General features: G+C 38.7%; 1 protein-coding gene across 15 annotated transcripts in view, besides 2 other annotated features; it reads right to left on the bottom strand.

Annotated features, from left to right (window-relative positions):
* Positions 1-22,022, bottom strand: part of MAGI2 (membrane associated guanylate kinase, WW and PDZ domain containing 2) — a 1,436,613-nt gene that overhangs the window by 117,135 nt on the left and 1,297,456 nt on the right. For all 15 annotated transcript variants that reach the window (XM_047421093.1, XM_017012845.3, NM_001301128.2 and 12 more), the window contains one exon: positions 832-1,017. In XM_047421093.1, coding sequence (XP_047277049.1) covers positions 832-1,017 — 186 coding nt within the window. The remainder of the gene's footprint in view (positions 1-831; positions 1,018-22,022) is intronic.
* Positions 281-782: an enhancer, noted in NCBI's record as "H3K4me1 hESC enhancer chr7:77763787-77764288 (GRCh37/hg19 assembly coordinates)". NCBI's record gives its function as "activates a minimal SCP1, AML or CMV promoter by ChIP-STARR-seq in naive H9 embryonic stem cells {active_cell/tissue: H9 hESC(naive)}" and the evidence as "EXISTENCE:reporter gene assay evidence [ECO:0000049][PMID:30033119]".
* Positions 783-1,282: an enhancer, noted in NCBI's record as "H3K4me1 hESC enhancer chr7:77764289-77764788 (GRCh37/hg19 assembly coordinates)". NCBI's record gives its function as "activates a minimal SCP1, AML or CMV promoter by ChIP-STARR-seq in naive H9 embryonic stem cells {active_cell/tissue: H9 hESC(naive)}" and the evidence as "EXISTENCE:reporter gene assay evidence [ECO:0000049][PMID:30033119]".

The following is a 22,022-nucleotide window of genomic DNA, read 5'->3' on the forward strand; positions in this document are numbered from 1 at the left end:
TTTAAAGTCAAGTGGCTGTTTAGCCATTTGCTGCCTACATGTCAGATAATCCTAAAATGGAATTGGGGGCTGAATAAAACAGAGGGTACCAAGTTGAGTGAGCCCATCAGCCTCTGTGTGGGACACTCATCAGTGAGCTCCAGAAATGGAATTCTTCAATATCGTTGATGAGTCAGCAGCCAGAAACTAGTCATGAACCCACTGTCTCTGGAAATGGTGAATTTTTGGTGCAGTGATGTTCACAGCTCCATGACCCCTTAGGGCATGGTTATGAATTGTGATGTTCACTACTCTTTTGAGCCTCAGGGGGGAGTCCTTGTACAGACAAATTCAAAAGGCTCAGTGGGAATTTTAAATTCTTATCAGATGCAACATTTTCTAAATGAGCTCTCCTTATACCACAAAACTTCACGTTTTCAAAATCAATCTGACTTTGAGGAATCCTCTAGAGATTTACTGTTAACATAAATTTTTTTTTTCAGATTTGTAACTCTGTCACCTCTGTTGAATGAATTCTGACTTAATATAACCATAAAAGTGGGGGCCCACAGGGAATGATTGAATAACCTGGCGTCTTGGAATTCACACTATTTAGCCTGCAATGTCACATAGCTTGACCTCTGAATGAAACAGGTACTGAGTAAACAAGATATGGATTGCAACTGAGTGTGAGTTTTTGCAAAAGTGGAAATAATAATCAACCTCTGACACTCTGACACCACAGTGACGGCAGGCAGGTGCACTCCGCGACCCTGGCGGGCAGGCTGAGAACACCCGGTGAGTGTGTCCATGTGTTGGCCGCCTCTCTGCAAGGCTGCCTCAGGCACTCACCCTCCTGAGGAATGATGCGAAGGGTGACACTAAGACCTGCATCCTTGATGAGCTTCACGATGTCAGCGTGAGGCATGTTGATGATAGACTGGCCATTCACTGCTAGGATCCGGTCTCCCACTTTTAGTTTTGCACAGCGATCTGCAGGACTCCCATCAATGATGCGTCCGATTTTATGGGGCACAGCTAAAAAAACCCCAACAGAAATAGGTATCAGGGACATCACCAATACATGTTCTTTCAGTCCCAGCCCCAAAGGAAACAATGAAATGTCAGAATTCCTTCCTTCGTCAGTGTATTTGCCTTTTGAAATCACACTAATTTCTATCAAATGGGGTCCTGTGCATACTACTGAGACCAAAGTTTCTAAATTCAAGTCCTTTGCAGTGATAGGCCAATTCCAAACACAGACCAGGGGTTCTCAAACTTTGGGGTGATCATAATTAACCTAGAGTTAAAAAGACAGCTATTTGGGCCTTACTGGGGACTGTCTGAGTTAGAATGTCCAGGCAGGAGGCGAGGACCATGAATTTCTAAGAAGCTCCTAGGGAGATTCCAATATATATGAGTGTTTGAGGACCACATAGAACTTTGTGCCCCATGAGCTCATATTCTAGGGACAATAATCAATAATTTAAGAAAGCTACAATAAATGCCAGAAATTCAATTTCTATCCTTTTATTATTTTATTGAGAGGAGAAAACAAGGAAGGAAAGAAATATGTGTTAAATGGGTAGTAGCCACTTGGTAAAGAAGTTATAACCACCTTCCCACTCATGTACTAAGCTATAAAGGTTGGTGTGTTGTCACATCTTACCTCTTCTTTTTGATTTACTTTTACATGGTGCTGATATCTTGCTAATGTCTGATACATAATGCATTTATTCAAATCTACAATGCCATGGATGGTAAGACACACCTTTATTTTATATGCCACGGGAAAAAAAATAAAAAGAAACACTGCTAACTAAATAATGATGCTCCATTGATTATAAGATGCTCTCCAACTGTCAAAATATTAAAATATAAAAATGTTTAGGATTGGTAAAATGTTATACGTCTTTTAAAAACAATGTACACTTCTTTTCTTTCTTTCTTCTTTTTTTTTTTTTTGAGATGGAGTCTCACTCTGTCGCCCAGGCTGGAGTGCAGTGGCGCGATCCTGGCTCACTGCAAGCTCTGCCTGCCTCCTGGGTTCACGCCATTCTCCTGCCTCAGCTTCCCGAGTAGCTGGGACTACAGGCGCCCGCGACCACGCCTGGCTAATTTTTTTGTATTTTTAGTAGAGTCGGGGTTTCACCGTGTTAGCCAGGATGGTCTCGATCTCCTGACCTCATGATCCGCCTGCCTCGGCCTCCCAAAGTGCTGGGGTTACAGGCTTGAGCCACCATGCTCGGCCTATTTTCTTTTTACTGTTTATTTATATGTGTGAGGAGAGCCACACACATGGGAATACAGATTTTTCCTAGAAGGTTGACTTCAGTGTAAATGTTTAAGTACCTACCAAGATAACTATTTATGGGGTGGACATCAATAGTATACCCTGTGTAAACCCCCTCAAGGAGTTTACCAAACTAGAAGCCTATTCCCTTTCCATTCTCCCTTCAAGACTGTGAGCCCCAGCTCAGAAACCTGTCAATAACTCTGTGTTGTTGCTCTCCCTATGGAATCAGGTACTGCTTTGATCTGTAGAAATATGCAAAAACACAACCCACCATTCAGTATGTTTCAGGGATGTCTAGTCCTTGAACTCTCAATCTTGCACATGCTTTACAGCGAAAGGCAGAACATTAGCTAATAACCATGGCAAGGAAGGACAATTAGTGATTTAATGAGCCAGTACCTTGTTCATTCTTCTATTGTGAAAGGTTATAGATAGCATATGAAAATATTGGCTGAGCCTGTGTCCCTGAAGTGAAACTCATCATGTTGGAAACTAAAACATGTTTTTATATACCATAAGCACTAATGGCTTCAATTAAGAACACCTTACATAGAGCATGCTAATGATCATCTTAGAATCTTAGGACAATCAATGTTTTTTCAAGTAGAAATATAAGAACTCATTAATTTACTGACTTTAAAAAAATGATGTAGGCATTGCAAGGTATTTAGGGTTGCAATTATAATTAGGGTGAACTTTAGTTCCTGTTTTTGCCCCCTTTCATGTTCAACAGTGTCTCGGAATGAATGGTTCATCAATGATTTGGTCTCCCTGGCCATAATGTGTATATTGTTATCTGTCCCGTGACCTCTGCAAAATTACCTAACTTCTCTGAGTCTGTTTTTCGACAGTAAAATTGGTATACTAATAGCATTGACTTCACAGACTGCATCTGAGAATTAAATGAGTTATCATATGTAAAGCGAGTAGAACAGTGCCTGATGTGTGAGAACTGATCTATAAGTATTAACTGTCATTCTTTTTATTACTATTATCTTTTAAATATTTCTGATATCACTATTAAGGGGTATGTGTGTGCTTGTGTGTAGGTACCAACTTGGTTTCTTTCCACATGGGGTAAACCTGTAATACTGCTAGAATTGAAGGAACACTTTGCTTACTACAGGATTATACAGAGTAATATCCCCTAAGTATCAACACAGGAAAATAGCTTCAGTTATGAAAGAGATGTGTTGGGTGGATTAGACAGACACTGGATGAGGTCAAGAGTCTATGTTCTCTGATTTCACAAAAAAGACGATGTTGCAGGTCTCTGTAGGAAAACATCAGCTTGTAAGAGTTTATTATTCAAAGGGAAATCAGCATGATTTAAATCTCTTAATCACCCACATTGAGCCCTACACACATAAACACACACACTTTCATATTTATTGAATGTTATTAACCATTTTTCTTCCTACCTCTTATGAGTACCTACCTGAGCCAAGCACTGTGCTAAGTGATAATATATGTGTGTATATATATGTATATATATGTTTAAAAAATATCCTTAACAAATCATATGAAATGTTTGATATCATTACAAGTTTACAGTAGAGGAAACTGAAGCATATAGCAGTTATTAATTTGTCCAAGGTCACATATGCCAAACAGGGCTTAGAACCCTAGTCTATCAGATTTCATAGCCTTTGCTGTTATTATAGCCACCACCCTGCATCTCTTGACTTTTCTGGCTCTGATCTCTAATCTATTACTTGCTTTGTGAGTATCTGGTGCTTTTATTTGATGGGTATAGCCTGCCTCTGAGCCAGGAACTAAACACTTCATGAGTGGTCCTGATTCAAGGATGAGTGGAAGTCAGGAACTTTGTCTGAAGCAGGTTCTTTGCTGCAGTTGTCTTTTGACAGGCAAAGTGGGAGGAGGAGAGAGAAGAAAGAGAAGAGGAGAGGAAATTGGACAGCTCTTCAGATCCTATTTAGTTAGGATGTCACATCATGGTGTCATTCTTTTGTGTGAAGTAATTTCTTTGGGTTTTAGAAATACTGACTTTTGAAATGAAATTTAAAAACGTACTTCAAAACACAAATGGTATTTGGATGATTTTCTGTTTTGACTTATTTATGCCTCTGCTCTCCTCTATTACTGTAGATCATTTAAAATTTATTGGGCATAAAATCCCAAATGTTTCAAAACATAGATTCACACACACACACACACACACACACACACACACACACACACACACACACACAATTTGTATGCTCAACGACAATGATAAACTATTACTTGTTAATTTCCAGGCACTGCAGAACTTGCTCATTTTAAATCCTTATAGCAATAGTGTGAAGTAGCTGTAAAAGTATAATAATCATGCTAATTTCACTATTAAGAAAACAAGTGTCAAAGGCACAATTCAAATCCTTGCCTATGGCTTCAAACCTTGGGGTTATTCCTTTCTTTTTTGATATGTTGGAGGTTGAAAGCAATTTGAATTACGAAGAGCAAGCGAATGACTATTGAGACTTAGTTTGGAAAAGCTTGCTGGTTGAGACTTCAAGATGAAAGTTTCACTGTAAACAGAATTATTTGCTCATGGTAATAACTTAGTTTCAAAGCCATTTTAACTTTATTAGGGTAGTTAGAATAAAAACTAAGATAAAAGACTAGAAATCAAAATAAAAGAATGAAAACTGAAATAAATTCAGTGGTAGACACATAAAATGACTGAGTGACTTGCATAAAATGTAAGTGAGCACACAGTTTAAAAATGTATCTTCAGTAATTGAAAGTACCTGACGTGGTTTTATTACAAATGTTTTCTATTGGCATTTACTTTAATAAAAGCAGTACTTGAAACTCTTGGCAGCTAACGGCAGCCTCACTTTTCCTTTACTAGAGTTTTCCTTACATATGTAAGTGCACTGAATGTTGATGTACAACAAATCTCTGACAAGGGATGTGCTCAGAGAGGATTCTCTCTGAAAACAAGATGCAGTTCCATTTGCTCAGTGATAAGGTCTACAGAGCCTATGACCTAAGTGCTTTCAGTGCAATGCTAACGGAATTACAGAGCAAGGAAGAGGCCCTGACCTTGGTTTCTATTATTGGGATGAATGGTACTCATTAATTCCCTGAGAACTGATGACTAAGGGAACTGCCGGAGCACAGTCCATTTAGACAGCATGCCTTGCAGACATCATCTGTCAGGGAGCAACATAAATCAAGTCTTTGGATCAGTCGTCTTGACACAGTGTGCTTAGGATACACAGATATTTGGGAAAAGTTGCAGTATGTCATTTGGCTTTAGACGTACTGACATTTAGGAAGGAGATAATGTGTCACTAGTCAGAAATTTCCTTTTAATTGAAAATCTCATAAATTATGGAAAAAAGAAACCCAGCTTTTCTATGTCTTTATTCCTTTATAGATAAAACAATATTGTCTACTTATATTGCAACATGTTTTATATTTTCCCATAGATGAATGAACTCTTTTGGCTCTGCTCAATGTTCCACACTGTTTTGGTAGGAATATTCAGAGATAATCAGTTGGATTGGATGTCCTCTAAGTGAATTTGGAAGGGCTGGATTCTTGGGGTCTGTAGCCACATCACTACTGAAAGCAGGGATCCTCCCTTTTTTGCTGTTGGATTCTCTTCTGGGACCTTGTATAGTCTACTCCGGCTCCTTCAGTCACTGGTCAAAGTGGGCCGATCCAGCCAATGAACTCCTGTTATTTCTACCTTGGGTCAGTCCCCATAAAGAAGACAGGATGTTTACTTGAAGGACTTTTCTTGCTTTGGTGATAGATTCTTCCTGAAATCCTAAGGGAAGGGATTATTAGATCCCCCCTTCTCTCCTCTTTCCTCATTATTTGTCTTGCTATTTATGTGTATTTCATTTCAGAGAAAGAAAAGTCTGTGACTCATGTTTACATTTAATTATCTTCTTGTTAATAGATCCCACAAAGTGGAGTTATATGTGGAGAAAGTATTAAAAAGGCAAAGTGGATTTTGCATCGATCATGCCAAACTTACAAGAGGGAAGTTCCTGAAATGAGTGTGAGAAAAATAAATACTTCAAAGGCAATCGATAGCATAAACTCTCATTAGCTCGCATTTCCATTAATTTGTGAAGGTTAAACAACATGTCATTAGCTTAAAGAGGCAAAGGAAGTTAGTTTGGGTTTAGAATCTGTGACCTGATGTGAAAATAAATGCTTTTTAAAAGTTGGATAATTCCAGTTGCTTTTCTTTCAATAATATACGTGAAAATTACCTTCTGTCTAGTTTAAATTTGTGGGTTGGAGCAGAAGGGTCAATTACTACATCAATCAACACATTTCAGAATAGCATCTTCTTAATAACAGGCACTATGCTAGGCCCAGAGGGGAAGGCAATAATAAAGCCAACACATGGTATTTGTCCTTAAGAAACTCACTGTCTGGTTGGGGAGACCAGGGATAAATTTATAAAAATACATAAAGCAAAATGCAAATGGCAAATACATGGCAAATATAACGTGCAGCAAAAGTAGAGTGGAGGAGTGAAATCCTGAGTCCAGGTGTAGACTGAGAGAATGGTGAGGAACGGGAAGGTCATTCTGGGGAGGAGGGAATATGTGCCCCTTGGTAAGTGGCAGCTCTCTTAGAAAAAACTTATGAGGGTAAATGGGTATATAATCCAAGGAGGTTTGCGGGGAGACAAGGAGAGGTGCTTTGTGGGCTGGGGTCCCTCCTGCCCTCATAATTATTGCTTCCTTGAGAGCTCTGATGTGATGCCTTTAGCCCAGCTCCCGTGAATGGAGACTGAGCACAGAGGAATGATGCGAGATTGTCACAAAGTGTTCCCATCTCTTTAATACATGGTGGAAACTCCTGATCTGTTTTTCTGCCTTTAGAAACCAGAGCATAATATTAATCTTGCTTATTTTCCATCGCTGCTTCCTAAAAATTCTGCCTTCATATGTTTTATTGTGACAAACCCATTCAGATAGATATTGTCCCTTCCTGGAATATGACAAGGTGTCCTTCAAAAGAGTTTTCTTTGTCATCATGGGGTGGAGATGTGGGAAAAAACATGTGTTTTGTATTTTAAAGTTTTTTTTGGTGGCAAAATTAAGAAAAAACAGACGGCATGACTTGTTTTCCTCTAGAACGCTGTGAAATTTAGCTTTCCAAAGATGAAAACGTCTTCCCTGAAATTCATAGCCAACTGATATGCAAAACCCAAAATCAAACAGCTGGTGTTTTAAGGACTGCATATTCAAAAAGTGCGTTTTCCCCCCTCCCAGCACCCATGAGTCATTCTCTTGTGGTTGAACAGTTTAGCTACCCTGCAGTTGGTAATAAGCAGATGGTCAGACAGGAGAATGGGAAGAAGGGCTCATCACTGGCAATTTGGGAACCCAACTGAACTCACGTTGCTGAGGGCAGAAAGCATCCTATAGATACGATTAACTAAATGGCTGGAGAGAAACACTCAGCAGCCATATATTACCGTTTATGCTTTTATTTTATACCAATTGTTAAAAATTTGCATAGCTAAGTACTGAGAGTAAATTAGTAACTGAAAGAAATCTCACGACATTAGGAATTGTAATTAGCTATGACTCAACTGTTCTATCCTGGAACATGAGGCTGGGTTAAAATGGATTTGTTGTTTGGAAACATTTGATGGGCCAGGGGTCACATGGCTAGCTTCATGTGACCTGGGCAGTCACACAGGCCACCATGCTCAAAAGGGCCTGGTGTTTGGTTTAGTCACCTGTCACCAGCTTGATATTCTTAATAATTTTTGAACAAGGACCTCACACTTTGATTTTGCGCTAGACCCTGCAAATTATGTAGTTGGTCTTAGGTAGATCTGTCCATAATGTATTTCTTCCTTGCGCCACTCCACTGTTCTTAGTGTCTGCCGTGGAAGGTGTAAATGAGAATATGTTACAGCTACCAAGAAAAATCACCAACAAGGTGGGTGGTAGGAAAGGAGCCAAAACAATCCTTTTCTCTGTGGGTGCATTTTCCACTCCCCTGTACATCACTAGAAAAGGCAGTCCAAAAAATTTCTGTTAAGTATACTCTTACTTTTGATTCTTCACATATTTATTGAAGAGGTCTAAAAATTACCTTGATTCTCTTACTCCACTGTGAAAATTATTCTTATAAGTCACTCATTATTGTGTCATTGACAAAGCAACTATTCTTCTGTAACCCTCTTTAAGTAGATGTTAAGATAGATCACGGTATTTCAAGGGGTTCATGTATTCTTTTGATATGGTTTTTCTCCTCACAGTCTGACAAAATGTCTAGACATTAGAGTGGCAGGAAGCAAAGAAACTTCAGAATAGTCATGATCCTCAAATCTGTAGGTGTGTGGGGTCTGGGAGCTGGACAGAGAGAATGAAAAAACATTTCCATTTGTAGATACACCTCTTTTCTTCCGTAGCAATACTTTTCATTTCTCTGTATGTCCCTGAAAATCACCTTGCCAACTTGTACAATAACTAGCAAGGATATCTTTTTTGACCTGTTTGGGTCTGAATGTCAGGATGGAAAATCTGGTCCCACTAAGCCAAATAAATATTAACCCTATTTCGGCAATTTTTGCATTTTTCGCAAAGACTCAGAAAAAGATATGTATTTCCATTGCCCAATAAAACCAGCAACTCAGGACTTTCCAATCAAGGGGTGGAAGGTGAAATTCTATTGTTCAACTAGAGTAATTTTAGTTAGTAAAATTGTGTAGCTTTTAGCAAGCATGGCTTGCAAATAACCAAACAGCAAGCCGATTCAGTAATAATGGAAAAATCTTTAAAGAATTATTGATGTTAAAATATGATAAAGGAATTCTTCCCTGTAGGGCAGAAAAGCCAGTTGCTTTATTCTTTTTAAGAAACAGTTGCAGGGTTGAGGTTTGGTATTATACTTCCATCCCAGGCATGCAAATCTACCTTTTAAAGGGCTGGTTGCCCAATTTTATGATGACCAATTTAGTTCCTGAATATGGGGTTCCTTTTATTTATAATTTATTACAGAGCCTCATCAAGTTATTACTAGAAAATACTAGATGGTTCTATTATGATAAAAATTGTATAAAAATTTCAAAATTCATATAATGTAAAAGGAGGAGAGTAAACAATCTTCTAGTGATTGGAAATATAACTAAAGCAACTTGATTATTTTTTAAGGTGTCATTTTTATTTTTTGAAGAAGCATTTATATTTAAAACTTGGTACTGATTATTAAGACAGGTACAGTTTAAATTGCCCATTTAAAAAATCGTATGTCATTCCCAAACTAACCTGTCCATATGCATAGAGAAAAATACGTCAAGTATGTACTCATTACTTTGGCCTTTCCTTAATCTGAATAATTTATTTTTATGAAACTTAGGATTTTTGTGATGTTGCTTCATCAGCTCATTTCCAAAACTGCTATATGATCTTATTCAGTGTTGCTTAATCTTAGGACCATTTTTCTTTCACTTATAGTCCTATAAGTTTTTTTTTTTTTTTGGCCACAGACTCTTTTGTTTCTGTCTTTAAATTAGTGGCTGTCTATGTTTTTAGTCCTCCCACTCACTACCAATTGCTCTCAATATGATGACAATTTAAGAGACTTATAGCAAGCTAATTGTTTTCCTTACATTTTCCCTATCTATAGATTTCTTTCCTCAAAGAGCTCTATGAGAAGTGTTAGGCATTAAAGCAACTTAATTGAAGTAATATATGTGTGAACTTAAATAAATTAAACATAACCAAAATGGTTATAATAAAAAATTCTAGTCTCTTGCCCTAACTCTCCCATCCTCTCTAGTTCTGTGACCCAAATGCAAACATTTTAAATCTTTCAGCTGTTTCTTCACATTTCTAATAATATTCCTACATAGCTGTTTCTCATTTTATCAATGTTAGTCAATATCTATTCACTTCTTATTCTGATAGAGGATTTAGCACTCTTCCTCTGCATCCCACCTGCTCTCCTTATCCCAAAGTAGTTTTATTACAATTTTTAGTTAAACCAGTTATCATTGTTTGTGGTTTTACTATGTAAATCTTGTTCACTGAAGCGTTTATGATTTCATTTATTTTCTTGCACAGTTTCTTTCCTTCTTTCGCCACTTCTAATCAAGGTTTCTGATTGTGTCTTTTCCTCACATCATTAATTGCTTCCCCAAAAGCTGTTAAAATCATCAATTTAATTTATTCCTCTGAAGACTTTCCTCCCAGACGTAGGTAGTTTGCTCTCCAGTCTGCTGGACAGTGCCATCGTGGGGATTGTTGTTGCACTCCAAGGTGGACTCTGTGTCAGTTTTTCTGATTCAGTTTTTATTTATTTTTTGTTATTTTAATTTCTGAGATACACGTGCAGAACGTGCAGGTTTGTTACATAGGTATGCGTGTGTGCCATGGTGGTTTGCTGCACTTATTGATCCATCATCTAGGTTCTCTCCACTTGCCCCCCTGCCCCCCATGTGCTCTGGTGTGTGTTGTTCCCCTCCCTGTGTCCGTGTGTTCTCATTGTTCCACTCCCACTTATGAGTGAGAACATGCGGTGTTTGGTTTTCTGTTCCTGCTGATTCACTCTTTCATTTTGTTGAAGCATATCCTACAGCAGCTTTCTAAGAAATTATGCAGGGAAAAAACCAATTTTTCAATTCTTAGTGTTTGAAAATACATTTATTTTTACCTTCTTTTGATTGAATTCTGGCTTAGAATTCTAGATTGTATGAAACTCCTAGACTGAAAAAATGATTTTTCTTCAGAAACTTACAGGCACTGCTTTATTGTCTTCTAGCATCCAGCATTACTATTGAGAGGCCTGAACCCATTAGGATTTTTGCTCCTTGTATGTGATATACTTATATTACCTTTTCTTTTTGAAAATTGTTAAGATTTTTCCCTGTACTTTTTTTTTGTTTTGAATTATTGCAATGGTGCATTTTGGTATGGTTCTTTGTCAGTATGGAGACTTGTTTCCTTTAGTTTGGTTTTGTGAACCTTTATTATACTATTTCTTTGATAATTTCCATTCTGTTTTTCTGGTCTCTCTTTCTGCAACTCTCATTAGATATTGGCATCCCGGATTGGTCTGCTGCTTCTCCTATAGGTCATAAGGATTACGCCCTCATGGTAGAATTAGTACCATTATAAAAGGGCAAATTTGGCCCCCTGTTGTTCTCTTTTGGCCCTTCCTCCTTTTGCCATGGGATGACACAGCAAGAAGGCCCTTGCCAGATGCTGGCACCTTATATTAGACTTCCCAGCCTCCATAACTGTGAACCAATATATATCTGTTCATTGTAAATCACCCAGTCTGTGGTATTCCACTATAACAGCACAAAGTGGACTAAGATGGCTACCTCCTTGCTGTATCCTCATATGTTGGAGTGAGAGAGCTCTGGTCTTTTCATCTTCTTATGAGGGCACCAATCCCATCATTGGGGTACCACTCTCATGACCTTATCTAAACCTAACTATCTCCCGAAGGCCCGTCTCCAAGCACCATCACATTGGGAATTAGGGATTCAACATATAGGTTTTGGAGCAGGAGACACAAACAGTCAGTTTGTAGTAAATATCATATCATTTTTTGGCTATAAATAAGTTTTTGAAGCTTTCTTTTCTTCCCTGAATTATCTTTATTTCTTTTATTTTCTTTCATTTCTTTCATATTTGCTTGCTTTATTATTTTAAACATAAAAATTTCATGGTTGTTTTATTCCATTCTGTCCCGAGTATTTTAGGTTCTGGGCCTCCCTGAGTTTCTAAAGAAATGAGTGGGTCTGTGTTATTCATATCTGTTTTAGATTTCTCTGCCCTGCTGAGTTGTCACTTTTTTGTCTTTGAAATATCTTGACCACTCCTGCCCACTCCTTTTCTCATTCATTCACTATTACTACTTGGGGTCTAAGAAATGAGACCCCAAGTAGTTATAATTTACTACTATCAATTAGAAATTAGAAATATCTTTAGTAATTTTTAATCAGTTTTTGCAATCAATATTTTGGTGCCCCAGTTAGAGATTTGGAATCTGTTTGGAAAAAAAATTAAAGTTTTATGTACCCAACGTTTAAAAGCCCTGTTGTCACTTGTAGTCTTGAGAGATAAAAACATAAAGGACAACTTGTTTCTTTTCAAGTATTCAGAAAGTGTCATAAAATTACCTTTCATCAACTTCAGGTTTAGGGTTAAAAATGTTCAATAAAACTACACTTTCTTTCTCTCCTCTGTGTCTCTTGACTACCTTTGAAGCACTTTTCACACCCATCAATGTACTTGGCTCTGAGTAACTTCTCAGCAGGCCCAATAGAAATGGTTGATAGTTACAAGCAGGTGTTGCTGACAACTCATGTTTCTCATTTTTACAGATCCAGTGTATTTTATCTCTGCCATCTCCTTTTTCCTTTTATAGCTTCTGAAATTGTGTTTTGTAAAAAGTCACTTGGCTATCTTCACACAGTTTCCTTGTTACAATAGGTAAATGTCAAAAGTGATCAGATGCAATATCAGACTTCCACTGAATTCCCCCAAGCCCTCCGGCAGATAATAACTTCTTGCAATATTTTCTTAATATAAATGGAAACAGATACTAACCCAGGCAAATGATCCCTCCTGAGCCAGCTGTCCTTTTCAATATATTATCCAGAAGATTACATGAATATTTATTGGCCCTCCAGTTACACATACAAGCCAAAGTTCCACTAACAGTGTATACAGTATGTTTTAACCTGAAAGAATGCAATTTCGCATGACTGGATAAAATTAAATATGAACAGACCCTCAAGCGAAGTGTTCAGGAGCTAGAAGATCTTGATCATATATTAACTTTGAAAACAACTTGCAGTGTGACCTCTGAATGGTCAAATAAATTATGTCAGTTCCCGGACTTGAAAAGTGAGACCATCACCACATGTGGTCTCTCTTTCTTATCCTTATCTTTCTTACCCAAGTATTGTACATTTTAACTTCATTTGGATTTCTGCTTATATGTACTTTCTCTCATGACTTATATTTTAAAGTGTTATAACTATATGTGTTTTCAGTTTTACTAAGCAAATATACATTTCCATAATTTTATTTGAGACTATCATCACAAAATGACTTTTATTATGCTAACGTAAGAAATGAATGGGAAATAAAAAAGGATTGAAGAGATTCAAAACGTGTTTTGTTGTCCATAATGAAATGCCAATTATACTGGAGGGGGAAGAGACTAAAAGTGAAAAAAAACTCCTTGGCAAAGATATGCAGATGGAAAAAAGCACACTAACGATCTTCAATATCATTAGTCTTTAGAGAAAAACGCAAACTAAAACCAAAATGATTTGAGAGGCTGAGGCAGGAGGATTGCTTGAGCCCAGGAATTCAAAACCAGCCTGGGCAACATAGGGATACCCCCATCTCTACCAAAAAAAACCACCCCCAAACCCCAAAATGACATACTACTATGCACCTATTGGAATGGCTAAACATTAAAAAAACCATAAAACCTAAAAATAACAAGTACTCACAAGGATAGGAAGCATCTGGAGCCTTCACACATGGAATATAAAATGGTACAGCCACTTTGGAAATTGGTACCATATGAATCAGCAATCCTACACCTAGATATTTACCAAGTGAAATAAAACCAATTTCCACACACAAAAAGACCTATATGAAAACGTTTATAGAAGCTTTATTTGTAATCACCAGAAACAGGAAACTACCAAAATGCCCCTCAACTAGGGAATGGATAAGCAAACTATGGTGCGTCTATACAATGGAATATTATTCAGCAATTGAAAATGAAACAAATATTGACACATGCAACAACATGGATGAATCTAAAATGCATTATGCTTAGTGGAGGAAGCCAGACTGAAAAGGCTACATGCTGTATCATTCCATTTATATAGGAGAGGCAAAACTTTAGAACAAAACAAATCAGTGCTTGCCAGGGCTGGGAGTGGGTGAACAGCTGATTCATTACAGCAGTAGTTATAACTAAACACATCTGTCAAAACTCAGAGTATAGACTAAAAAGGGTAAACTTTACTATATAGAAATTAAACCTTTAAAATAGGGGGAAAAGTGAAAAAGCAGAAGGAGATAAGAGGTTTTGGATGGAAATAAATAGAGATAAGTAAAAAGGAACTGATGTAGAATAACTAGGAGACAGGAGGTGAGCAGGGGAAAGTGTAAGGGTTGGAAGTCTTCAGAGAAGAAATCCTGTCTAATCTGAGTCATAAAACACAAACAGGACTTTGCCAGGTGGTCAAGGTTAGGGGAAGCAGGCAGCATAGTCACAGTGGTATGACTTGCAAAGACACAGATCTGTGGATTAGCAGTGTCTGTGTTGTGAGGGGTGAGAGTGCAGTGAGCACAGACATCAGTGGGCCCTGGAATAAAGAAGGAAAGCCAGGTCATGAAAGGTCTTAATGTCTATGCTAGGGGTTTGGAATTTATATTATAGCCAATTGAGGAGCCACTAATGGATTATGGCAGCTAAGTGAGATCATCAGACTCGTCTTAGAATGAGTCTGATGATAATAGGTAGTATGAAGGGTAGACTGAAGCATAGGGAGAGTGGGAATTAGGCTGGAGGCAGGGAAGTAATTTAAAGACCACCATAATACTCCAGAATTGTGCAGTCCAACATGGTAGCTACAAGCATCATGTGGCCATTTAATTATTTGAAATCAAAGATAATAAAAAATTAAATTCCGGGTCATGCCAGCCTCATTTCAAATGCTCCACAGCCACATGTGGCTAATGGCCATAATGTTGTATAGTGCAGGATAAAACATTTCCATATTGCAGAAAGTTCTGCTGCACAGTGCTAACCTAGAACCTTAAGGAAGGCATTAGCAGTGGTGGTAGGGAATGCCTAATGTATCCGTCTTATATCTGGAAAGCATGTTTGGGTAACAGTTTGCCTTCATTGCTCAAGAGTGACAAATATAATTGTGTATAAATTCCGCTAGGATATGAATGTAGGTACCTGGAGGTCTGCTTTAAAGCTTGTGATCATACACATCGATTAAAGCTAAGAGTGACTTAGCACCAGGAAGCATCAATATCAGTGATTAATTTGGCACCCAGGTTTTATTGTATTTCAATTTTGTCAAGCGTCTACAAGAATGTGGCTATTTTTCATCTTGCTGTTCATCTAGCAAGTCTAATAAACATCTGAATGAAGATTTCTAAGTTGAACTATTCTTCTACTTCATGTTATCTCAACTGCTCTGTGCCAGAAAACTATAAGAACAAAACCTTTTACATGTGCTCTTTCTTGCTTTCTGGAAGACCCTCCTCTCATGATGAATCCGTAAGTATACATCTTTATGATGAACAGACTTATAACAGAAGGTTTTAGGCACTTCACTCTTGAAAGCAGATGGTTCATCAGGTACCCAACATCTGGCCATTTTTGTAGAGCAAACCCTTGCCTGGCTTAGAGAAACAAGATCTTGGAGAGGTCAGATTGAAAAATGAAAATGGCAATGGCACACTCCACTATTTAGTTGATTTTCTCTGGCACTGCAAAAACCTTGGGAATGCCTAGTGATCTGACTCATCACCCAGAAAAGGCTGTCTGATTAATCTGCAGAAATGATTCCAACCAAGTACTCAGAATAGTTTGGTTGGGAACAAATCCAGCTTCAATTGCAAAATTATTGGTGGTCAAATGCACAAATAAAAAATCTTTTACCAAGATTTGGTGTGGTAGGAAAGAGTTTCGGTAGAAGCACTCCCTAAGTTCCTGATGGAAACTGGACATCAAAAAGAAATATTTTATCCCAGGCCAAATGGGAAAAATATCCCCTTATAATACCCTTTCAACATGACTGGACAAGGGTGATAAATAACAGTACTGTGTTCACTTAACAATTTGCTCTTAAAATGGTTCCACATGTGGAACAAGCTTCATTAGGACCCTTCTCTGAAATACTTTCTTATGTAGTTGATTGTTGGGAAGAAAGAGAAAAATAAAAAATCACAGAGAGCTTAATCCACCATGAGGCCCTGAATGCAGTATAAAGAAAAACTGTCTTTTGCAAAAGTGCCCTGCGGGCTCTGAATTTACTTGAACCTAATGTGGGAGAGTGATGGGCATCCTGCATTGGTAGAGGATCATCCTGTACATGATGCCTGGGGTCTCTTCGCAGTTGCAATCTCCCTGTACTATCTAGTGAATAAGAAGGAGCTGCAGGACATAAGCCCAGAGGAAACGGCCACTGATCACCCATTTATGAGCTTTCAAGGCAACTGAATAGCTAAAGGTAAGAAGATATCCACCTTATGCTGCTGCCTGGAGTCTTTGAACACAATAATAAGAACTCTCCTGAAAAATGATTCCCTAGTGGGGGAAACATGATTTATGAGGTCTATTCAACAGTAAGAAAAATAGTCCAGAATTTTAGAAAATGCATTGTGAACACACAGATTTTTTTGATAGATTGTATTGCTCCTCTTTTTGAGGATAAATAAGAATGATGGTGTTCTCTGCAGACTTATTCTACAATATAAAGATCCTTAAATTTGTTAGTGCTAGCAGAGTAAAATGTTTGCGTTTGTCTTTCTATTTTACTTCATAAATGCTTCAGTGTTCCGGTATCAGGGGACTTGGAGTTTGATGCTTTATATTTATATTTATATTTATATTTATATTTATATTTATATTTATATTTATATATTTGCACTTGTTTGCTTACTAGTAGGAACCAGGCGGCCAGGTTGTAATTTGGGAAAAAAAACTAGTCATGTTCAGGACTGAAAAAGCGGAATTGAATAAATAGGTCCTATTCATTCTGACCTCAGTGAGTACAATCCTATAAAGGAGTAATGTGATACAGAAGTTGTTTAGTTGGAACTGAAATGGGTTGCTTTGTTAATGAGAATTGTAAGTGAATAAATAATCTGAAGTAATACTTTTTTCTAAGGAGTCTGGGATGCCATCCAAATCCTCCTATTTAGGACTATATAATTATTGCTGAGGTGGTGCTCACACAGATGGATGACGGTTCCAAGGGTTGGTTCCAGGAGAGGTGAATCAGGGGGCACATTAAGGCCACTGCCTGGCCCTTCGGAGAACAAGGGTTTTGCAACCAAGAAATGTAAGATGACCGGGGCTGGCCAGAGGCAAAAAGACAGCTTCCCTACCCCTGACTTGTTAGGGTGCTCTCTCATCTGAGTCTTCATTCACCAGGCCCCAGGCTGACTGCTGAATCATTTACCCAGGCTGAGAACAACTGATGGCAACTCTGTATTCTGGGACATTGCTCCGGTTCTGCTTTATTATCGTGTGATTTCTCACTCTGGCCAAGGACCAGCTTTCATGTAATTCCTCCCCTAAGTGATCCTCTACTGCATCGCCCATTGTCAAAAATATGTCACGCTACCTTTGCGAGATGAAACAGCTAGGTTTGGGTGCGGAGTAACTTAGGACAGAGCACCAGTCACAGTCTTCCTTTTGATGAGGATTGCGCTGGATCACTGTATGAGAAGCATACAGCCCCATCGACATAAATGGCATGAAAATCCTTGAAAAAAACCTATCAGGAATTGTGAAGGATCCAAAGAAATGCCACCATTTCTTGCCCTTAAGCAACTCACAACTTTTGTGGGGAAAGCAAAACAAAAACACATGAAAAGTGAAATGACTATAATAGCAATAACAGACACAATAAAAGAAGGGAAGTCAGGAAGCAGTAAGCAATAGGCGATGTTTACTGTTTGGGCAATAGTCTCCACCTCCTAGGGGTGCTGTGAAGATTAAATATGGTGTAAGATTCCAAGCACAGTGCCTGGGAGAAACCTTCATACAAAATATTATTGCATAAGAGAAGCATACCAAGTGACAACAGGCAAAACATGGCCTCTGGGACAGGGTAAATAACTGAACCAGCTTTGATGGAATGGAACCTGTGAGGAGCTGCTGGCAAAAACAGATGCCCCAGGGTCTTGAATGGACAAGAGATGTGTTTAAGCTTTATCCTGCAGATATTTGTATCAGGAGTGTTATGGTCAAGGACTTGGTACAGGAGGACTGGATTGTATGTAGAAAGTGTGGTCTTTCTTGATGTACTTTGTATCATTAGCAACGATCTACCACTCCCCCCTTAGCCCCTGGCTACCTCATGGAACAGAAATTAAGTCACAATAATAAATGTGAAAAGACTTACTTGACTGAAAACATATTATATCAGCATAGATGATGAATACAGTCTTATCTTTGTTGTATATGTAGGCTTTCCCAGAGATTTTGAGGATATGTGCTTATCTTCGGCTTCAATTAGTTATATTAGAAGCCAGATACATGAGGGGAAAACCAGTACTTTATATAGGTTCCCCACCCCACTATTTCTTCTGCTATGAAAGCACTCACAGTAATATTGTGGGTGACACCACTGTGCCTCCTGAGTGAGCCACTCTCAGCATAATCAAAGCCCACAGTAAAAGCATTTGTGTTGTTGAAGGAATCCAAAGCAGGGATTCATTTAAGGAATAAGAGAACATTACATGTTGAGAAGCTGGTTAAGAACTCTGAAAGGGAACTTGTTTGTGCAAACCAGTGAGAAATAGAGAAATGAATGAGACTCACTTTCTAATTCCTATGTTCAACAGTGTGGGTATTTCAGTAGCTCTAGCAATGACTTTCGGAGATGGAACATTGATGGGTCAAAGTTTATAATGACATAGAGAAGGCTAAGGCACTAGGATAAGCACCAGTTGCATCTATTACCTGTGTTTTTAAGGCAATCAATGAACAAACCTCACTATGGAGGTTTGAAGAAAATTCACTGCCACAACCCAAATCCCAATAAAACCTAAAATGAATGGCTAATTGGTTGCTATTTGGAGGATTTACTGTAAGGCAGAGCTTTGTAAACATGATGCCACTGAAAGGGGCGTGCCTTAAATGTTACATGTGTGCCAAGACAGTTGGGGATGGTTGGGTGAGCTTGGTGAGGACCAGGCGTAGAGCCTCCTGGGGGACTGCCTCTTGCTGCCATCAGCCTCATTCGTTTTATCTCAGCTTGTTATACAAATGCCATCAATTTACAAGTGTGCCAAGAAGTGAAGGAGGTTGAAAAAACACTGCCTTATATTGCCTTGAAAGGGGAGCTGGGTTAGTGTATTTAAGTGATTGTTTAAGATAATTTCTTGACAGAGGTTGAGACGAACAAAAGAACTCAAAGTGTTAGGAGCCATTTTCATTATGTAATCAAAGGTAAAAGTAATAAAAGTTAAAATGATAGCTTAGCTAATGAAAAATATGATCTAGGCCTCAAACTTACCCAATACTTTTTTACACACCAACAAAACTAACTTAATACCTTATTTTCCATGCTGATTCCTGGCATCATGTAATTTAGAGCTGGAAGAGGATGTAAAGACCATCTTCTTTTATATTTTAAATGACAAAAGGACACAGGAAGACCAAGTGACTTGCTCAAGGGATACAATATTTGGTGGACAAGCTGGAGTGAGCCTTGGGCTCATTGTCCAATGTTCTTTTCATTTAGCTTGAATCTCCTTGTTTTGAGGCAAGAGTAGAGAGACCTTGGCTTTTGTTTTACTTTGTGCCTCCTCTAATTTCAATGATTATTCAGTGTTTGCATGGTTAGTGAGGTGAGTTTTGGTGGGGGAAATCCTAACTCACATCACTTCTATTTCATTTTGATTTCATCCCTTTTAGGAACCATACTCTAAAATGTCATAAAAGACCTGTTAGTGAAGTTTTAAAATCTCTAGGATAAGTTTTAATCTCCAAAGCCTATGGACATCATCAAGGACTTCGAGAAACTCACCAGGGTGCTTTATCAAAGATAACTAATTCCTTCCCTGAGCATCAGATTGCAGTGGCCTTAGGGAAAGTCAAGAATGACCAGGTCCAAACTTCAACCCATGCTGGAGAAAGCACACATGTGGAAACAAAGATTTTCAGCACCAGTCCTGAGCTGGAGGATTGCGAGGAGCCAGCAGCGTGCTGACCAGTGATGCACTTGCGGATAGGGACAGAAGATGAAATCAACACCACTAGAGGAACACCAATGAAGAAAGGAAGGATTGAAAAGTTTGTTCCCCTACTGCTGACTGTTTAGATTGATGCTATGACCACTGTCCTGAATATGTTCTAACCTGCTGCTTGTTATCCTATATCTAAGTTTAGAAATTCCCTCAATAGCCTGTCAACCTCCACCACCGATACCCAAGCTGCCATGTGTGTCTACCTCATATATTCCGGCATAACCTCCTGACAAGTGACAGAAAAGGTGGAGACTTTCAAATTATAGAAAAGGGCCACTTCATTACTTGTACCAAAGCCCTTCTTGGGAACCTCTGGTGGGAAAGTAGGTTTGTTAAGGAGGTAGGAAGCACCTATAAGGACAGGTGCTACAGCTGGACAATAAAACCTGGATGTCAGGACTTGGGTTTTGAGTAGGGAGGACCAAGGATTGGCCTGACAACCTCACTGCACGTAGCCCCTGGGACATTTTACAGAGCAAGCATCTAATCCATTGAGTCATAGGCTACCTGAGTCTTCTCTAACCTGTGCATGCAGACCTCAGTGAGAATGAAAACAGTTAGTCAATGGCAGAAAATGCTTCAAACTTCCCAAATACACCAAAGTTATCTGTTTTGGTGAAGTTTCTAACATTATTTCCAATTTTCTATGCTTAACAATAATATAGCAATGAACATTTTGCATATAAGTCTTTGTTCAAATCTTTTTAAGAATTTAAAGTGAAATTGCCTATTACAGTTTATTTTTATTCAAGGCTTTGTTCTGGAAACCACTTTAGTTTCCCTTGGGCCCAATGTTAAGGTCTGAAACAAATACATAATATTTTGCATAATGGGACCAACATGCCCAGGATGCTTCCCTGTTCTCACTGGAAGTCAAGAAGGATAATCTGGCTGGGCACAGTAGCTCATGCCTGTAATCCAAGCACTTTGGGAGGCCAAGGTGGACAGATCACTTGAGCCCAGGAGTTTGAGACTAGCCCAGGCAACATGGCAAAACCTCGTCTCTACTAAAAATACAAAAATTAGCTGGACATGGTGGTGCATGGTGGTCTAAGCTACCCAGGAGGCTGAGGTGGGAGGAGGATCACTTGAACCCAGGAGGTGAAGGTTGCAGTGAGCCCAGATCATGCCACTGCACCACTGCACTCCAGCCTGGGCAACAGGGTGAGACCATGGCTCAAAAAACAACAAAAACAACAAAACAAACAAACAAGCAAAAAGATATTCCTGCACTACAGATAGAAAGCTTCTAAGCTTCTAAAACCTGTCTACTCCTATGCAATGGTTGGCCTACTTGGTCACTGACCTCGGAAGGAAGCAGCTTGCTCCTTCATTACATTGATTGATATAAAGTTTTTTCCTTATTTCCTGGGGAAATAATATTTTGAAAACAAATCTGTCAGCCTTTGGTAAAGAGCATTACTAAATGCCAGCAAATAAGTAAGAAACCCTAACTCCCAGTTTCCCAATTAGCTGAGCATCACCTGTGCTTGGCAAAGTTGTTGTCTTGGCTGAAGAAGCTATGGACGTATCTCCATCCATAGGGAGGGAAAGTTTACATTTGGGTCCTTCTTCTCTCCTCTCTCCTCTGATAATATTTAATAGCAACATGTTTGCAAGGGAGATTCTAAAAGACATCCCCTTGAGTCTGAATTTCGATGATTTCCATTACTTTTATAGCTTATTGGCTTGTGAACTCTGGAGAGGGAAAACTGCAATTCTAGCCTGAAGCCTCAGCAAAGGCACCTCAGCTGGACTGACTTGGCCAC

Source organism: Homo sapiens, chromosome 7 (assembly GCF_000001405.40).
Source record: "Homo sapiens chromosome 7, GRCh38.p14 Primary Assembly".
Classification (NCBI taxonomy): domain Eukaryota; kingdom Metazoa; phylum Chordata; class Mammalia; order Primates; family Hominidae; genus Homo; species Homo sapiens.